This window comes from Homo sapiens, chromosome 11 (genome assembly GCF_000001405.40).
Source record: "Homo sapiens chromosome 11, GRCh38.p14 Primary Assembly".
In the NCBI taxonomy this organism is placed as follows: Eukaryota; Metazoa; Chordata; class Mammalia; order Primates; family Hominidae; genus Homo; species Homo sapiens.
The window spans coordinates 30,408,985-30,428,020 of NC_000011.10; the positions used below are offsets into that span (position 1 = coordinate 30,408,985).

The 19,036-nt window shown below is 41.3% G+C and overlaps 1 protein-coding gene across 25 annotated transcripts in view, besides 1 other annotated feature; it reads right to left on the reverse strand.

Annotated features, from left to right (window-relative positions):
- The window catches only part of MPPED2 (metallophosphoesterase domain containing 2), a 202,912-nt gene that overhangs the window by 24,906 nt on the left and 158,970 nt on the right, over window positions 1-19,036 (reverse strand). For 22 of the 25 annotated variants that reach the window (NR_165336.1, NR_165339.1, NR_165341.1 and 19 more), the window contains 3 exons: window positions 8,534-8,649; window positions 5,244-5,357; window positions 1,240-2,602 (listed from right to left, as the gene is read on the reverse strand). Coding sequence is in view for 12 of the 25 variants with exons in the window: in NM_001440302.1 (NP_001427231.1) it covers window positions 2,484-2,602; window positions 5,244-5,357; window positions 8,534-8,649 (349 nt within the window). In the remaining 13 variants the exon portion in view is untranslated. Of the gene's footprint in view, window positions 1-1,239; window positions 2,603-5,243; window positions 5,358-8,533; window positions 8,650-19,036 lie in introns of those variants that run through there. The other 3 variants (NM_001377956.1, NM_001145399.3, XR_007062496.1) reach the window with 2 other exon arrangements.
- Window positions 13,919-14,419: an enhancer, noted in NCBI's record as "H3K27ac hESC enhancer chr11:30444450-30444950 (GRCh37/hg19 assembly coordinates)". NCBI's record gives its function as "activates a minimal SCP1, AML or CMV promoter by ChIP-STARR-seq in naive H9 embryonic stem cells {active_cell/tissue: H9 hESC(naive)}" and the evidence as "EXISTENCE:reporter gene assay evidence [ECO:0000049][PMID:30033119]".

The window sequence follows — 19,036 nt, forward strand, 5'->3', positions numbered from 1 at the left end:
GGCTGAAGAAAGCTTTATCCACAAATGAGTCTGCCTTCTAGTTTTAGTACACTGGGTAGCTTCCTGCCTCCACAAAATGGAAAGCAATTTTAGTAAGTGCTTAGCTCAATTAGTTTGTGCCCAGACGTACTCTCAAGGGCTGGGCATACATACTTGTGATCGTGATTACCCACCTATCTCTGGGAGGCTTGTTTTTCCAGAAGCCAGAGGCCTGAGTCTCTGGCTTCTAGTACACTAACCAGGTGAAATTTCCATTCAGTAGTGTACCTCTCACTCCAACCCCCTAGGATGGGGCTTGAAGTGAACACCCTCTTCTACTGATGTAGAAGGTCAAGGAAGTGTTGTCCACTTGTCATAGCACCTCTTTCGGTCCATGTTAGCTGCAACAGTCATGAGCTCCCTCTGGGAAGCCCATGGGAAGCTCAAGCATCTGCTCTGCAAGCTTGGACCCAAATGTCCAACACAGCCTATGGTGACATCCAAGATACTTAATAACTATTAACAACTACAACAGACCAAGATGGTTACATGTGACTCTGAGCAGGAATTCTGGCTTAGAACATTCTGTCAATTCTGCTGGTACTGAAATCAAGAACACCTTTCAGAAATTGCGCCAAAGGATCCACAATAGGTAGGGAGGAAGGAACATATATCCAGAATACAATCCAATGAGCCCTGACACATAAGACTTTGAGGGTGCACTGCAGATCCAAGATTATGCTGTTTTGCTTCAGTGGTTCTTCTGGGTGATGTCTTTTTTATTTTCTCTGGTTTTCGCCACCCTTCTGCTATCCCCTCTTGGTTGCCACAGCATTTTGTGGGTGGGCATCATTACAAAAGTGAGGAGGAGATGGTGACTGCTCTTGGGGAAAATGAGAATGTGCAGTGATTACTCTGTCATCAACGGTTTCCCCAAACTCACTATCACAAACTTGCCCAAAATAAATCCACAGCCTTAACTCCAGTCTCTCTGTTCCTGTAGAAATTACAACAGCCAAAGATGAAACCTAAGGCAAGACAGATGACAGCATGATGGAAGGAAAGAGTACACTGAGTGCCTTATCGATCTATCTGCCAGCCTGTGAATGGTGGGTAATAAAAATTTATTGAAAATTAGGGAAAAAAATCACTTATTCTAATTCTTCTGAAAGGCATTACTGATGTTGCATATGAATAAATCCCTCCTTCCCCAGGACGAAACTACCATCCTCCACCATCCAACCCTCTAAACAGCACGAATTTAAAAATCTTGCAATTTTATTTGCATATAAAGGCCGCTAGATATAGAATATCACAATAAATTTAAAGAAACAACTGCTTTCCTAAATTTCATTAACAAAGTAACATAAAATAGAATAAAGCTCAACAGCATTTACAATGGGAAAACAGAAATGACTATTAGCGACAATATTTTGTGCTAGCGAAGATTGCATCGACACACAGTGCAAAATGGGAGAGGGGAGAGGAAGTAAGAAGACAACTTGGGGTATTTAAATAGAAAGGACAACTAAGCCTTATTTTAGTTAGCTTCCATTGCATCCATTTAAGTCTATACATGCCTGTAACTGTACCTAGATTTAACTCAAGCTCTTTAAGACCTTGAGCTCTGAGAGAATGTGTCAGTTCCTTCCGACTTCTGATGTGTTGCTATACAGCATCCCTTTGCAGTTGTACTGTCCTTGACAATAATAAACTCCTAACGTAGTCATAATACACAAAAAATACTTATATATATAAACCCATATTGAAAAGGAGTCTGCATGTTCATTTTTTTAACCGTATGAAATACCTGCTCTTGACAGATTCCATTTCTGTATTTTTAAAGCTGAAATAATTTAAAAGAAACAAACAAACAATGAGACCTTGTATAACCACAATAGGAATCTCACTAGTTAAACCATCCTTTAAATGACAGCCATTTTCTTCTCAATGCAGCTTTCTTTATAGTGAGAGTATGAAAAGAAGTCTTTTCCATGCCTACTTCTGTTGAGAAGATTGCTATAAATTGGGACCACATCTGCAAAAAAGAAGCATTACCAAGAAAACAACAACAACAAAACATTGAAAATTAAAATATTTCAAACAATACTCTTAAACAGTTGTGCAAATCTGTGTTGGTTTTTAAAACACTGCCTGTTTCTTATTTTTTTTTCTTTCAGCTTAAAGCATATTAAAATAAGACTTTTATCACTTTTTAAAAGAAAGCTTGGCTGTCCTTTGGCGAACACTAACAATTTACAATGGCATGGCCTTTGAGAAAACAGAAGTCATTTTACAAATTCACAATGTTCCTCTGATTTCAAATGGATGCCCCATTTAAAATAAAATAAAATAAGAAGCACAACCTCTAGCATCATTTGTGTTCCAACAATTTACAAAAAGAACTCACAGGGTTTGTAAATAAGTAAGAGAATGTAAGTTTATAATTAGAAAAATGGCAGTTTATAGACCTTCCCTCACATTCCAATAGGGCATTTAGAGCTTCAGGAACCCTGTGGGTTTGGAAGGTCAAATATAATTGGAGGGTTGGTCGGTTGAAAGCTGACTGTACACGTCGAGGCATTGATGTACGTTGTGTAACCGTCGGTCATGATGCCATAACCTGTGGGGAGAGCGTGTCACATTTACTGTAATATATACAAATGAGAGTGATGGAATGTAGGGCTGTCAGGCAAGGAAAACAAAAAATTTTTGTCAGTGGGCAGTGAGATGAAATTCAGTTGAGCCTCCTCAGATATAATGACTTTCAGAAGCTACTGCCCAATTTTACTCTATTTTCTTTAAATGGTAGAATCTTCTCCTTCAACTAAGAGCAATTTTTTTTTCTTTATTTAAATGCTAAACTTGTTGAAGAAGGGCTGTGATTTCTTTACTAGGGAGAATAAAGAAAAACTTTTTTCCTCCTTTTAAAATAGGATTTTCATTTCAAAGCCTTGTGTTAACTATTGAGTTCTAGGGAATAAAATGAGTAATATAAGGATTACTCCTCAGGGGCAAACACAACTAAATTCCAAGTGGGATATGGGGCAGGTGAGGGGGGAAAGGATACTGCATTGAGAGTTAAGAAATGTAGACACTCAATTTACTTATTTATGAAATAATCTCTTAACTGCCTTTACGAAAGTCAACCATATATGATTTTTGAATTGTGTGGCTTTAATACTAAGTTCCATTTCATTCAAAAGTGTCAGCTAATCACATGTCGAAGTGATGTGTAGAAACATCACCCTAGGTCACTGTTTCCTAAGCTTACCTGGATACTAGATCAAGCAAAAACACTTCCCATATGCAATATAAACCTTTTGTGATTTATTGGGAGAAAGTTGTTTCCCTAGGTCTTTGGTATATATGTTCCTTTGATAATTTTCAATATGATAAAATGTTTAGCATGTTTGCAAGTTGGCACATTTCCCTGAATACCTTATATTTGCCTTATAGCCTCTTCAACTAAGATTCTATGTTGGTATCAGGCTCTTATCGCATATAAAAACATAGCTGTGAAAAAAATAAAATTACCAAGATATAGAGAAGTAACTGAAAAGGCTTTTTTCCACATTGGCTAAAATTTCTCCAAGTAAAGCCTGTGGAGAACTTAATGAGGGTCAATGGAAAAATCTCTTAAGAAAAGAAAAGAGGCATTTAAAATCTGCGCTGTTTAGTTCTGGGGTCATAAAGTCTTGTTATCTCTCTCCATCAAGAGGTTGGTATTTGCCCTCTTCCTGCCCTCTTCAGCTGTCTTAAGTGAATAAAAGTGAGACAAGTTTATATGAATATGATCTCCTCCCTTTTAGGCAAGTTTATTATTTTGGGGCTTCAGTGGAATTCCCCAATTGTCTGGCTAGTTTAAAGGTAATTAATGATTTTTTTCAAAGATAAAATGCAAACTCATAGGCATGCTGCACGAATTCAGACCTGTTTTCAGAATAACAGTCCTCCAGAAATGTTGCTTAGTTTAGATATGAGGTCCCACCTCCCTAGTCTCCCCTCCAGGCATTCCCCCATCACTGGTGTTCCCTCCATCATACCTTAGGGCAGTACCCTCCTTTTCAGGGAGCATAGCTCAAAGCCAGGGCAGGCCGATATCCACTCTCTGGGAGCTGCACCCTGCTTTCCACCCACTCAGCTGGTACCTGCCCTTGGAGCAAACTGAATTTTCTCTGGCCTCAGTAGGATGATTTTCAATATGCTCTTTATTACCCACCTAACCAGGAAGCCACTGAATTTGTGGGCTTTGAAAAAGCAAACTTTGTTTTTTGCTTCCTCAGGCACACAGCCTTAAACACCTCAACTTGACTGCATATTCATAAGTAACTCCAGAGAGCTGCCATAAGCAGGAGCTAGAGAGAATATAGCGGCTGCCCACGTAAACACGGCCATTGCACACAAGCGTGTGTAACTGGGAAAATCTGCTAGGGACAGAAATCCTTAGGCTTGCTGAAAGAGGGCTTTGTGTCTGTCTCAAAGCCCAGTTACCCATGATTTGAAAAAGGCAGGTCGGAGAAAACCCAGATCCCTTGAAGATTCCTGTTAGGCTTTCGGTTCTGTGAACCTGACTCAGCTTACCTTGAAAGGCAGAAAAATGGCAACTGGACCAGTTCCTATTTAAGAGAGATTTAATTATTCTGCTTAACCTCAGCCTGAGCTAATAGCTCCGATGATTTCTGAGAAGTCTGAAATAGTTTTCTGAGGTTAGTAAGGAAAAGTCTACCTGCAAATGTGCAGGTTCCCGCCACTTCTGTTACATATCTTTCATTGCATGTCCTAAGCTATTTTTCAGAGAATGCCTTGTCTTCCTGGGTCTTTGTGTTAATTCCATATGAAACACAATATTTACAGGTAGGAGGGGACTATAGAGGCTTAAAATAGCTTCTAATATCCAGACCATTTCTTCTAACTCTCTTAAGGAGAAAATGACTCCTTGTATACCTTGGGGTTGCTCTAAAGCAGTGGTTATCAAACATTCCTCGTTAAAGCCCTGAGATTCCAGAAGCTGCCAGGGGGAGTGCAGGGTTTGCAGTTAGTAGACCAGACGTGCTTCCTACTTTCCACTCTGTTTACAAGAGAGAAGGTCCATATAAAATATTTATCAGCTTTATATTCAGATGTTTCTCATAAGACTTCATCTTATAAAAGGGTCCCGCTGCTAAAAAGTTTGAAAACAACTACTCCACTTATTCCTAGTTGTAGACTGAGATAGTGGACAGGGGCACAAAATGTTTTGAATTCTTTTCCGCTGTTCTTACCTTCATGGATTCCACCAAACACATGGAGCTTGGGCCGGACTCGCCTCTGAACCGTGTTTAACAGCTCCACACAGCCCACTCTTTGAAGCTCCTTTGGAACCCAGTCTCGAAAACCTAAGGGCAAAATGCAATCAATACACTTAATTTTCTTTCTTCAGGTAAGGTTTCATTTAGACTTTCAGGAAGCCATAACTCACAGAAGGTTTATTACATTATCTGTAATCCTAGCCTCTCCATTAAAGCTCACAATGGCTTTTAAGAAACTTTTCACTCGTCACTTTGTCTTCTTTAGGTTCTTGAAATTTTTTTTTGGTTTCCATTTTTTTTTCTTCCTGTTAATTAACATTTTTTTTTCTGTAGGAGATTTGATTTATTCAGCCATGGGTTTCAAATCTTCTTCATGAGCTCAATGACATTTATTCCCGGCAGTCCCATAATATCTCTTTCTCCCTCAATTCAGTTACTTTCGCTATTTTATTATATCTTTCTTATAGCAGTTTACTTCTAAGATGATTCAAAGAAGGACTGAGAGGAGCTGCCTGTAAACTGGTCACAAGATACCCAGCTCTCTTTAGATACACTAAGTCTTACCCCTTGTGGTTCCGGATGACCAAAGCTTTGGAAAGCTAGGTTGCTCCTGTGGTCCTGTCCTCTCCAGCGACAGGCAAAAATGTGACCTCACAGTGGCATCCAGCAAGCTGGGGCTAATTGACTACTTTTAAAGTAAAAGCCACTTAGTTCTACACTTAATGCAGAAAATCCATAAAAACTGACATCAATTATAGCAAAAGTCAGCTATCTGGATGATTATGGCCTGGAATGGAATCCATACGCCTCAGCAGGATAGGGCATAAAGAAGGCAGGTAGGATGAAAGGCTAAATCGTAATCTCTGGAAACCCATTCCACAGCGCCATTAGGTTATTTCTATTATTTAGAAATAACTGGGCAGTAAGGAACAGCTTTCTGCTTTTTCGGGCCAAACTGCAGACATGAACGTTTAGTGTCTCTGTAAAGACATATTCGCTGGGGTTTAAGGAGTGACTAGAGAGTCTGAAAATAGATGAAAGTGGGGTCCCCAGCAAAAATCTATCCAGCGTTTTCAAAACTTTTTTAATAGTGGGGCAGAATTCTTAAGCTACATTGATTGGCATATTACCTCATGCATGTGTTTTTCCTGAAGGGGGAAAATATTCCATTTCATATGCAAACATCTGAGAAAGCATCTTGCTTATACCATAACAGTGAAGTCTCACGGCACTGTGGCATCCCTCACCAGCAGGAAGAAATTCAAGGCCAGTCTCTCCACTCCCCTCTCCAATGTCACGTTTTCACAAGAATCCCAATAGCTATATTAACTAAGGTTTAACAATACCTTAGGAAGACTTTGCCTGACCTTTTATTTGGGAACTCCTTGATGTAGCTGTCACTCTGCTCTACTCACAGCCACTCTCTCATTTACTCCACCTTTACCATAAAGAGAGGGATGCTAGCTTCCCTATTAAGAGTTCCTGGGATGTCTGAAATCCTTGGAGTCTACAATTCAGACTTACTCTTATTGCCATTTGCTTTTATACCAAAATCAATGACTTGATAAGTTTGTTCTGTTCAAAGTTGTATTCCAAATAATACTCGAGTCATGTAAATGTTTCTCTGCTGAAGATGTCCAAGTCCCTTGAAATAAATAGCCAAAGGGAAATCATGCCTGCACCCAATTAGGCTGCTCAGGCAAAAGGATGAAGGTAGCTGAAATGATAACTCTGTAGGATGCTCTCACTGGGTAACTCATGCTGATCACAATATTTAGCTAGCAATTTAATGATGTAGCTACTCTAATGGTTGTAAAATAGGGAACTTAGTTAATTATGACTTGATAAAGGTTGTTGACAAGTGTAATATTTTAAAACATGGGTTGAGGTGGTCTGGGGATGATGAAAAAGCATGGGAATGGTGATTCTGAAGTGTTAAAAGAAGTCAGGAACTGCTGATCCTGTGCAAATCTATATAATTCCCATGTCTGCAACAGAGCTGGCTCTTCTTTTCTTGCTTCCCCCATCACTAAAATGTGCCACTATGGCCTCCGCCATGGTGCTCACTTCCACTGTTTCTTTGTGAAACATGGGCCACTTCCCTTGTAAGAGAAGGAGAGCAGCACCAAGTGCCTTGGAGGAGAAAATATCTACAAAAATTAAACTTGCATTAGGAAATGAATGTTATTTTTTTTTCTTTTTATTTTTAGGGATGGCAAAGGAGGGGGGTAACATGGATAAAAACTCCAAACCACAGGAAAATTTGTGGAAATTATTTATATTTGTATAAAGTGTTTTTTCCCTCTCTCCAAACCAAGATGATTAAGAAACTCTTTTAGCATTGTACACTGAAAAATGTGTTAAAAGGGTAGATTTCATGTTATATGTGTGTATGTGTGTGTGTTTAGCCACAATTTTAAAAAGAAAGAAAAAATCGAACAGTCTTCTATTAAAAGTGAAACATCTGAATTTCTTGAGCACACCTTAGTCATTTAGAAAGGGTCCTGGCATAATGGGTACTGAGTAGATGTGGGATCAGGGCGGTAGTCCTTGTTGAAGGATGTTCTGTAGCTAAACCAACAGATAACAAGTTCGTGAAAAATTAAAAGGTAATAAGTCAACTGATCATTCTTTGGCCCATAATGTGGCTCACTAGTGGGTAGGCTTTGAAGCACACAGACAATATAAATCTGGATGCAGCCTCCATGTGCCTGTAGGGTAAGTATCCTTAAGTAACTTTCAGTGTAAGTTCTTACTGAAATACCTCAGCTTATAAAAAGGATTCTTTTCTAAAATTATCAGCTCAAATGTTAAACTTTAAAGGTCTTCCAGGTTCCAGCATTATATGGAAAAGGAAAATGAGCTCCTTTGAATAAAAATTTCCATCATTTCATTGCCATTCAAAAGCCCTGTGATTGGGAGGTCCGAATCTTCCTTCCTTTCTCCACCCCACCCCCTTACTCCAAAGTGAATACAGTTCTTAAAATAAATTATCAAGCTCAGAAGACTGTGGCACACCATACTCATTTGATTTTTCCCTGACTTGACTAAATCAAAAAATTTAATTTCAAGAACACCTGTAAGCCCAGCAGAACTGCTGAGTTTAATTATCATACTGAGTTTCTTTAAAGACATTGACTTTTCTTCTCGTATTCACTTTTTTTTTTTTTTTGGAGGAAAATGATTATGTCCCTGAAGCATTATTCATTATGCCTGGAAAAAAAGGCATCTGGATGACAAAGGACAACCTTTGCTTCACTTACCTAGAGGAGGTCCATGTGTCATGAGTATGTCAATGCCCTCAGGGATGAGGTTCCACTTGTCCAGCAGAGACTGACCTCTGGGTAGGTTAAAGCCCCATCCATTAAACCACGGGGTCCTTTGGGGGAGATAATGCACATGGTATCAGGCCAGCAGAGCCACGGCTCCGCTCTGCAATATTTCTCTCTCGCACATTCCCCCACGGTTTGCATTGCTCTCTTTTCTCTTTTTGATGGTTGGCCCTGGCAGCAGGATGCTTTTTTGTTGACTGCTTCAAAACCAATCCATTTGAAAGTAAGCGTGGAGCCTACGAATTGTTCCACTAGAAAGGGGCACAAGAGCCTTTACAGTGGAGACTTTCCCAGCAGGCCTCTATCAAAATCTTGACAATGCTTTGTCTTCCCCTAAATCTCAGTGCTTCCTAAGATACCCAGCCCCGATCCAAAGCATTTCCACCCTTCCTGTAGCATCTCACAGCTAAGAAATTCTGCAGTACTCCTTCTCCCTCACAATCACTGTGAGGGGAGGAGTGAGGAGGGAGGAGAAAATCTTTCTACTTTTCCAGAAAGATTCTCACTAAAGTCCTTGGAGAAAAGGATGAGGGCTCTGACACAGGCACTCTGTCCATTAAGATGGTTTGAATACCCTGGAGTGAGATTTCTGAAAAAATACGGGGGCTCTGAAAAGTGAGAAGGAACACAGTAAACAGAAAGTAAACACAGAACTTTTCTTCTGCCACCAAAGGGAAGATTTGGGGACATCCCTGGTCACTCTGGAATCCACTCTCCTGACAATGAACATGAGCCTTTTTCCATCCCAGGAACTTCTGCTCCAAGAATGAGTTTTTGAGATTGATGTTCCATGTAGAAGGGAATGAGTCTTTGTCCATCCATTGAGCATTTCTGATCGGTGCTGAAAATGTCTCTACCATTTAAGATACAAGTAATGGGAGACTGATCAATTTCTCTCTGCAAATACTACAGGCTAAATCACATTAGAACTAAGTAGTTCCCAGTGTTATCCTATTCCCAAACATCTAGATCTTATCAGTATTCTTTAAAACTGTTCTATTTTGTTCTGTGGGTAAATTCTAATTTGCTAAGGCATACATGTAACAGACAAGTCGGTCAATTTTCTGGCCAAGCCCAACTTACCCTTTCAGTTTAACCTGCCCCTTCCATGCCAAATGAAAGAGGTAAACCTGTGTATAAAGTGACCCTAACCTTGTCAATCACAGCTAATCAAATGGAGTGCACACTTACTTAAAGCCAGTCACTGGCCAGACTAATCAGATTCTTTCAAGAATTTGAATTTAGAAACACTGACACAGCTTTCATTTGGTGGTGGACATGTATAGTCAAGACCAGAGCGAGAAGAATGGTCATTGAAAGCCATGCAAAAATCTGTGGCATACGTGCAAACCTCAGTTCACGCTGATATGGTGGAGAAAGTTCCAGAGAGAAGAGACTGTGTAGCCCTAGCCAGAAAAGGAGAAACTAGGAAAGTATCAGACTTGCTTCCTAACCACTTTCCAAGTCCTTAAGCCATGCCCGGGGTGCTTGCTTATAATAGAAATAAGAATATGAGGAGAATAATTATATTGTGTTATTTAATGCTTTTTCTGTGTCAAGGTACTATTCTAAGCCCTTTATTTGTATTAACTCATTTAAGCCTCGCAGCAAACTCATGAGGTGGGCACTATTATCATCTCTACTTTACAATGAGGAAACTGAGGCACAGAGAGGTTAGGTAAACACAATTAATAACTTGGATATAAACCCAGGCAGTCTGGTTCCAAAAACAATGTTTGCCACCATATAATTCCTCTTCTTATATACTATCTGAATTAATTTACTCCTTGCTCTGGGTGAGACTCTTCTGTACTCTTTCAAGCTTGAGTATCTTGTTGCTTGAAGCCTAGTGAGCTCTGAACTGGAATAATATATCAATTTCATGGTTCTGAAATCCAGTAATAACATAGTGGAGTGGATACCTGTTGCTTTTGTCTGTTCAGATCTTTCCTCCGTCTTTTGGTGACAACATCTGAGTTTCTTTTGGAGAACCACTCCCTTTCCCACTCAGTACATGTGCTTCTGGTAAGACTGATTCCATCCCTGTTCTAGAATGAGTCTTAGGGATGTACATATGACCCAAGTTGTGTCAATGAGAGTCACCCTCAGGATTTGGCTGGTGCTATCTAAGAAGAGGTCAGGGTTTTCTCTCTGGGATCCTGAATCTTAAGACTTATATGAGCCTGGAATTGCCAGGGAGCTATTTTATCTGTCCTATAGATAGCCCCTGCTTGAGAAACCACCACAAAGAAACCCAAGACAAAAAAGAGAGGACTGTAATGATGTTGTTGAACATGTGCATCCAGCTGTACCTGAAGCCAACTGAACTTTTCCTTCTAAGGGCCAATAAAATCTTGTTCTTTTTATTAACTTTAGTTAGATCCTGTTTCTTGAAACTTAAAAAGTCCTAATATATACAATCATTGTATGTACCTGGGGTAAGCAATAATGTCTCCTCCACTCCAAGATGTCTACATCCTAATACCTGGAACCTGTGAATGTTACTGTACACGGCAAGGGGAAATTAAAGTCACTGATGGAATTCAGATGACCTGAAAATAGTAAGATTATCCTGGATTATCTAGGTCGGCCCAGTGTAACCCCAAGGGTCCCTAAAACTGGAAGAGGGAGGTAGAAAAGAAGATCAGAGTGATGCAATGTGAGAAGGACTCAACCTGCTATTGATGGCTTTGAACACAGAAGAAGGAGACTAGGAGGCAACAAACGTGGGCAACCTGTAGAAGCTGGAAAAGTTACGAAAAACCCAGATCTTCCTATAGAGCCTCCAAAAAAATGCAGCCCTGCTGACACCTGGATTTTAGTCCAGTGAGACCCATGTCAGACTTCTGACCAACGTACTTGTAAGATAAATATGTGTTGTTAGAAGCTACTAAAGTTGCTGTGACTTGATAGAGCAGAAATAGAAAATTGGTACAGTACCTACAACGTCTGAGCTGCCTATAAAATGCAGGGACCTGGGAGTGGCCCTGGGCCTCAGCTGACATATGGCACATGGTCAGTCAACACAGCCACACCGCCTTGCTCAGCTAGATGCAGTGCTTTTAGAGAGGAGAAGGTAGTGCTCTCTTTCCTACCTCAATTTGCTTGGGAGGCACCTGGCATTGGAGGCCTGGGGATAATGCCAGGTAGACCCTTCTAGAGTTCAAAGAATCAGTCTTTCTCTCTCTTGTCCTTTAAGATTCCTCACCTTCAGGTTCTTAAACATTTTTATTAGAGTCTAAAATACAGCTTTTCTCATTTGGGATGCCCATCCTTCCCCTTTATTTTACAGTGACCCTCTTCTAAGGTTTGTTTTAAAAGTAAAAACAAAACAAAAAGGCAACTTCGAAACCCAATGAAAACTCAGTGAGCATTTTGGACAAAGAGAGACAGAGAAAAACAAGCAAAAGCATCTGTTTTGCTAGATTTTGAAAACAAGCTTCTGGGCCTATGGTTCTCATCTGGACGTCTAATAAAGAAGGATTTTAACAAGTCTCAAGCACACTCAGGTAGTTGTTACAACGAGGAGATCTGATTTTGCTGTCAGCGAGGATAGTGAATCTCTGAACCCACAGGACACCCAGGGGCTTCCAGAGGCAAAGGAACAGGGCTTAAATTTTTCAGTCTTTCCTGTTTTCCCTTGCAGAATTTTCTCTTAAAACCCCACAGCCATATTCCCCCAGGAAATCCTCAGTTTTATAAGTGCTCTGTAAAAGATAAGACAAACCTATGGTCTATATTTATAGAGACCCAAAATTTCATTTGGTTAATGTTAAGCTGTGACAAAATCCAGAAGTTTCCAAGTTAAGGATGAAGTTTAACAATGTCTGTCTTTTATTTCAACTCAGATCCATATGTGTATGAGAAGAAGAGCAGTTATATTCCAGGAAAAAAAAAAAAAACATTTATCATGGCCTTGATGTGCTTTTACCTAGAGCTTTTACGTAAGTTATTGGATTTAGTTCTTCACAGCAATTTTTAAGGTAGGTATTATCAGCTCTATTTTTAGTTAAAAACCTGAATATCAGGGATATCAAGTAACTTGTCCATGTTCCCAGGACCAGTAAGTAGTAGAGCCAAGATCTGAACCCAGATCTGCTGGCTCCAAAGCCTGGGTTCTTCCCTTGCACAATGCTGACCAAAACCTACTAGCACAATTTCAGTTTTTGCTCTCATATATGTAAAGTAAAAGTAAGGCTGCTCCATACAGAATCTTAGTCTGTGTACTGTACAGCTCCAAGAGGTGCCATGGAATTGTGCAACCGAGGTGGCCTTTAGTAAAAACATAGTATGATATGGCTGTTCTGGGGGCTTTCCAGTCCTCTAAATCCTCTAGGTAAGGTCTTTCCACAAGACAGTGGCAGGCAATGGAAAAAGCAGCCCACTGATGGATTCCAGAATTATCTCAGCGTGGCATAACAAATGGGGCATACAGAAGTGGGGAGATGTGTGTGCTAATTCTCATGCTGAAATTAATTCACTGGCTCACCTGAACCTTAGGTTAGCAAAAGGTCCTCACTGGTTCAGTTTCCTCACCTGAGCAATGAATGAGAGTGGACTCAATTACTGGATTTCAAGATTGCTTTTAGGTTGTAGAAATCTTACGCAGAAATGCAATGCACAAAGCAGGCAAATGCAAAGGTGGGGACTGGGAAGAAGGAACTTGGAGCCTGCTTACTCACTCAGCTCCCTCCTCCTTTCCAACCTGCACCTCTGAACACAGCTGGCCAAAGCTGGCACTTGATGATCTTTCCATATCTAAAAATCCTAATATTTTATAGTTCTGTGCAGATTATCCATGTTCTGAGTAACTGCAGTGAATTGCTCTCAGTGAATTACCTAAACTGCTTGTGAGGGACCAAGTCTAGTGTGAGAGAAATATCTACACAGAGCAGAACACTGAATGTGTCAGTGCCAATGAATAATGCTTTATCCAGTTGAGTTTCAACCTGAAACATGAAACCCCAGCAGTGAGCCCATCAGGGGTTCACTGGAAAATACGTGCACAGCCAACCTCCAGAGCCCCACAATGGGTTTTGTTGTGTAGCAATGGGGGTGAGGGGGGAAAGGAGGAGGAGGGAATCCAAGGGAACAATGTCTATTGCTTCAGCCAAAGGACTTAATAATTAGCTGTGACTAACAAATACCACATGGGAACCAACTTGTAAAAAAATGTCCCACAAAGCACCCTATTGCCAGTGGGCCAATTTGAGCCTGCAACCTCTCCCCTTCTAGGGAGAGATTAGAAAACTAGAAGGAAGGAGAGCAACTCCATCTGCCTGAAGCCACTGGACCAAAGACTCAGATGGATGGAAGCTGGGGATGCTTTCAAAGCACCCTCCCCCTTGCTCTTGAAATTGTAAGCACTTGGCCTCCCTGGGCTGAAATTCCAGGGGCAGGGGCTAAGGGAGTTAACATAGGCAGAACTTACTCCAAACAATGTCAATACAAAACAGGTTTTCTTTATGGAAGCAAGTTAGGACGAAATCGCTGAAAAGGTCATCTGTGTTTGCAGTACACAGTACGGTGGTGCAGGCAGAAGGGAGGTGCCAAGCCATAAATCCAGGGAGGCTTGGACAGGTGAATAGCAATTTACTCCCCCACAAACTTCAGTGGGGGCTGGGTGCGTCCTAGGAAAGCAGGATTTGGAAACAGGAAGTTGGTGCCTGTTATCCTCAGGTGGGCTACTCAGGGTCACAGCCCTGGTGTTACAAATCAACGTCCACAAATTTTCAATGCACAGACAGGTCCTGAGCTGGCTGCATCAAAAAGACTTGGGTTCTTATTACTATAGTCTTCTGGGCACCTTCTGCAGGGATTACAGCTTGGAAGCCTTGGGGCAGCTGTGCTCGGATTTGGCACAGAAGCTGTGAAGGGGAAAGTGCAAAGATCACATAGCACCCAGACTTTAGGAGCTGGCAGGTTGGCTGTGCCAGTTAGCGTAACGAGCACCTGCAGGCTCTTTAAAAGTTAGCCATTCTTATTTTGAAGGCAACGGTTAAGAGCATGGATTATGGAGTCAAACAGACCCAAGTTCAAGTTCCAGACTGGCCAATTATTGGCTTCTCTGGACTTCAGTTTTTACAAATAAAAACAGAATGTTTGCCTATGTGGATAAAGTGAATGAACTTTTGTAAAATTTTTGGCACAGAGGGTTAATGTACAGCTTTTAATTTACATATGATATATATTAACACATACATGTATGTGTGTGTACATATATACATACACAGAGAGAATTGCTCACATTATTTTTTTCTTCCTAGAATTTCCCAAGCCATGGTCCATCAAATCATAGACCCTCCTGCTCCAGACTTTTGAAAGTCCCCAATGCATAGGCAAGCATTTCTAGATGGCTAGACAGAGCCTGATTTCCTCTGGCTGATTACTTATTAAAAGGTACTTCCTCAGTTCACTTTTGAGTGGAAGTTTTTCAGAAAGCCATTCGCTCACTCGCTCACTTGCTCGCTCCCTCACTGGCTCAGTCTTGCATGGACAATCCTGTGGAATGCAAGAGCACAGGGCAAAACGGTTAGTCAAGGCTGCTTAGCCAGCTAGTACAGGTGGTCAGATTTTGACAAGATCTTAAATTGGGGAAGTTCAGACAAGCGGTTACTTTGGGTCCTTGGAATATTTATAATAGGGGGTGAAGAGAGGTTCACCGAAGGAATTGACAAGCTACTAATTAATGCCATCACTGCTGCCTGGCACCTCTATTAAGCAAAACTCAGAAACCGGGAGCCAATTTTCACATACGCTTTCTTTTCTAAATGGTAGCCCTTCTGAATTGCAACCTTCTTCACGCCTGGCACTCCCAGCCGCCATCGGCCCCTCTCCGACTGCACATCACACCAGGTCCAAGAGAAGCTAATTTAACCACCGCTGGTTAAAATCATACTGCACTTCACAGCGCCTTTCACATGCCATGAAGCTGTCATGATAATTCTTGATCTCTAGCTCACCTGACAGCTCAGCCCTCCCTTGACTGCAAAGCTTCCCCGTCAGTTAGAAATAGCAGTTTTCCTGGCACCAGATGTGTCATCTTGAATATCCAGATGAAAGGCAGACACCTGGCCCCTGCTCCCTCCCCTCCCTGCCTCGTTTTCCCTTCTTAGCTCTGGATTTTGTTTAGGAAGGCCATGTACCACCCCACCCCCAACTCCCAAGTCCCTCCTCTGGGCAGCCTGGAAGTTCCTCTTCTGCACAATTCAAAAGATGTCTTGCATTAGCCCACAGAGCAACTTCACACCTTGTGCAGCAAAGAGACACACACACACCAATTGACATCGCTAGGAGAGGGAAGGAAAACTTAACATCAGGGCAAGATTTCCACCCCTTTGCAGCTGCTTGGGAAGCCTGGCTAGCCCAAACCACCAGCCCAGCTGCCTCCAAAGGGTAGTGCTGGCTTCTCTCTCACCAGCTGTCTGATCCCATCTCTTCACTACGACTTTGTAGCTTGGTCTTTCGTTATGAGATCCTTGGGATGAAAAGAGATATTGTTTTGATAAAGGGCAGGCCTGGGTGAATAATGTGGTCTGTGTGTCATGGACAGGAAAGGAACAAATTGTGCCTGAGGTGGTCACCTGAGCCCCATGAGCTACTCATGGGGGCTTCTTAAACCCAGGCAGCACACGTGGACATCTTTACAAACACACCCGCTGTGTCCCTTTTTTGTAACTAATAAAGAACAAGTGTCAGCATTAAGCCTCTGTTACCGATTTTCTTTTCCTCTGCTGGAAAGGAGGTGGTGTAAGCAGAGTTTACTGTAGAAACCAAGAAACAAAAGACAACATGACCAGTTTTCGAACTTGGCGTGCTCTGAATTATTAAAAATAATCTTATAGTGTCCGCCCAGCCCTCTCAAGCATACCTGCCTTTAATCTTGTAAACAAGTTCATAGCAGGAAGGGGAATATTTTCAATCTGTTTCCTTCTACATGGCTGTAAGAAACATGACGCCCATCCATCATGCAAAGAGAGCCTGACGAGGCAGAGGAAAGATCATGGCAGGACTTCTGTCTTGGTGGACAGGTGAGGCAGATTTTGGACATGACTTGGTGCTTACATAAGTGGCTCTTTGTTTTGCTGCTGCAGAAATCAAAGGACAAGGTACCAGGGTGCCTTCAGTTAAAACAAGGGCTGGTCCTGCTCAGCCCTGGGACCCTGAGGAGAGGAAACGCGGTGAACTTAGCAGCCCCCAGTGGGACCTGCACTAATGTCCAATCCTCAGCAGTGAGAATTCTTCAAAGAGGAATCTCACAGTTCCCATCATCCAGGTTTGAAAGAAAAAGGGAGGCTTAACAGATGGAGAGAAGTAGACGTAAAGAAAAGGGATATTTGTCTTCTCTTTTCCTTTTTTCATGGCAGTCTTTTTATTGTGGTAAAATATACATAACACAAAATTTACCATTTTAACCACTTTTAAGCTATAATTCAGTAGCAGTAAGTATTAGGTTGGTGCAAAAGTAACTGCGGTTTTTGCCATTACTTCCGATTACTTTCACCACCACTATCCATCTCCAAATTCTTGTCATCATCCTAAATAGAAGGTCTATACACATTTAACACTAACTCCTCCATTCCTTCTCCCCCAGTCCCTAGTAACCACTATTATACTTTGTCTCTATGAATTCAACGATTCTAGGTACTTCATGTAAGTGGAATCAGATAGTAATAGTCCTTTTGTGTCTGGCTTATTTCACCCTGCATAATGTTGTCAAGGTTCTTCCATACTGTAGCATGTGTTAGAAATTCATTCCTTTTTACAGCTGAATGATATGCCATTGTGTGGGTATGCAGAATTCATTTTTTTTATCTAAGAAGGTTTCTGAATGCTCAGTAGGTGCCAGGCACTAAGCTTGACCACAGGGAGACCCGGATAATAAGTCCCAGTCCCTTTCTTTGTGAAGTGCACAGTTACTGGATTGAAAGCCCAGTGAGGATGGGCTCAGTAAGGTACCTCCCAGGGTATACACTCATTCAACAGACATCACCTGGATGCCTATAATGAGCCAGGCTCTAGCATGGCAGGTGCTGAGAAAATGAAATTGAATACAGTTTCCAGAACAAATCCATAGCCAGCCAGTTCATAGGTAGCAGTGCCCTGGACAGAAGTCTTTAAACTTTGGCCTTCTTTTTTAAATAACCTAATTTCAGAGGAGCTTGGGGAACATCAGAATGATGTGAAAATTAATCCAGCAGTTCCAAATGCAGACAGGCCCTGAGGCCAGGAGGTGACCTGGGGCATCTGTGACAGGACTGGTGTGAGCGGGAGGGAGGTCCTTCCGTTTCCTCCTATACATTCCATAATAAGGCCCTGCAGCTGAAACCAGGACCACAACACACAAAAACCCACATCCTACCAGAGACTGAGCCTGCAAGGGTGGCGTGTGTCACATGCCTGGCTGGCTCCAGAGCACAGGACGAACAGGACAGGGGAGGAGGTAGGAAGACTGCCAAGTACTCAGGAAACTCACAGAGAATACCTGTGCCTCCTCTTCCCCATCCTACCCTTTAGACATGTCACGGCAACCAGGCAGGTAGATTGTTTTTCTAACTTAGATTTCCCAACAAAATAAGAAAAAGAGGAAAGGTAGGTTCGGGAGTAGCTGGATTTTGTCTTGTTACATAGCGAACTCTCAAGAATTGATGTTAATAAACAAGTAGGAACTGATGAAATCTCTGCCCCCAAATACAGGAGAATTCACAATTTTATTACGTTTGATTTCATTTACAATGAGTGTGTGTGTTGTCACACATTTATGTTGCTAATACTGGTTTCTTTTGTATGCTATTTAATATTCTAGGGCATTATCAAGGGGATATACAGTTGGGGAGCATTTTACTAGCAAGAAAGCCTGCTACCTGCAAAATAGACCCAAAGGGGACAATTGATAAGTGGACAATAAAATACCATACAGCCATTAAACATAAGGTCAATTGGAAACTCAATGAGTCTGGCTCACTACTGTGTCCCCATCACCTGGCACAGAGAAGATGTGTATTTGTCAGCTGAATTAAGAATGAATGTTCATGAAGAGTTTGTAAGTTCATGAGAAAATTCCTTGATGGTCAGTGGAAAAGTAAAGTATTACCTTTCGTGTATCAGTATGAATTCAAACATGTAAAAAATGCTTTGAAGAAAAAGAAACAGACGGACATGCCTAATGGTTAGGTTATCTCTGGGGGTGAAGGGAGAGGGGAAAGATTATGGGTGATGTGAATTTTTTTCCCTTTCTATTTCTTTTTTTATTTAACTTTTTCTATAATGACTATATATCATTTGGAAGAAAAATTATTCAATGTAAAACTCTCCAGATGGCTAAATGCAAGTGGAGCATGGATGGAAGAATTTGGAGAATTCAACATCTACTTCGACTCTACTTTTTCTAAGGTGGTTTCTTCCCTAGCTACATCCCATTAATGCCCTAGAATA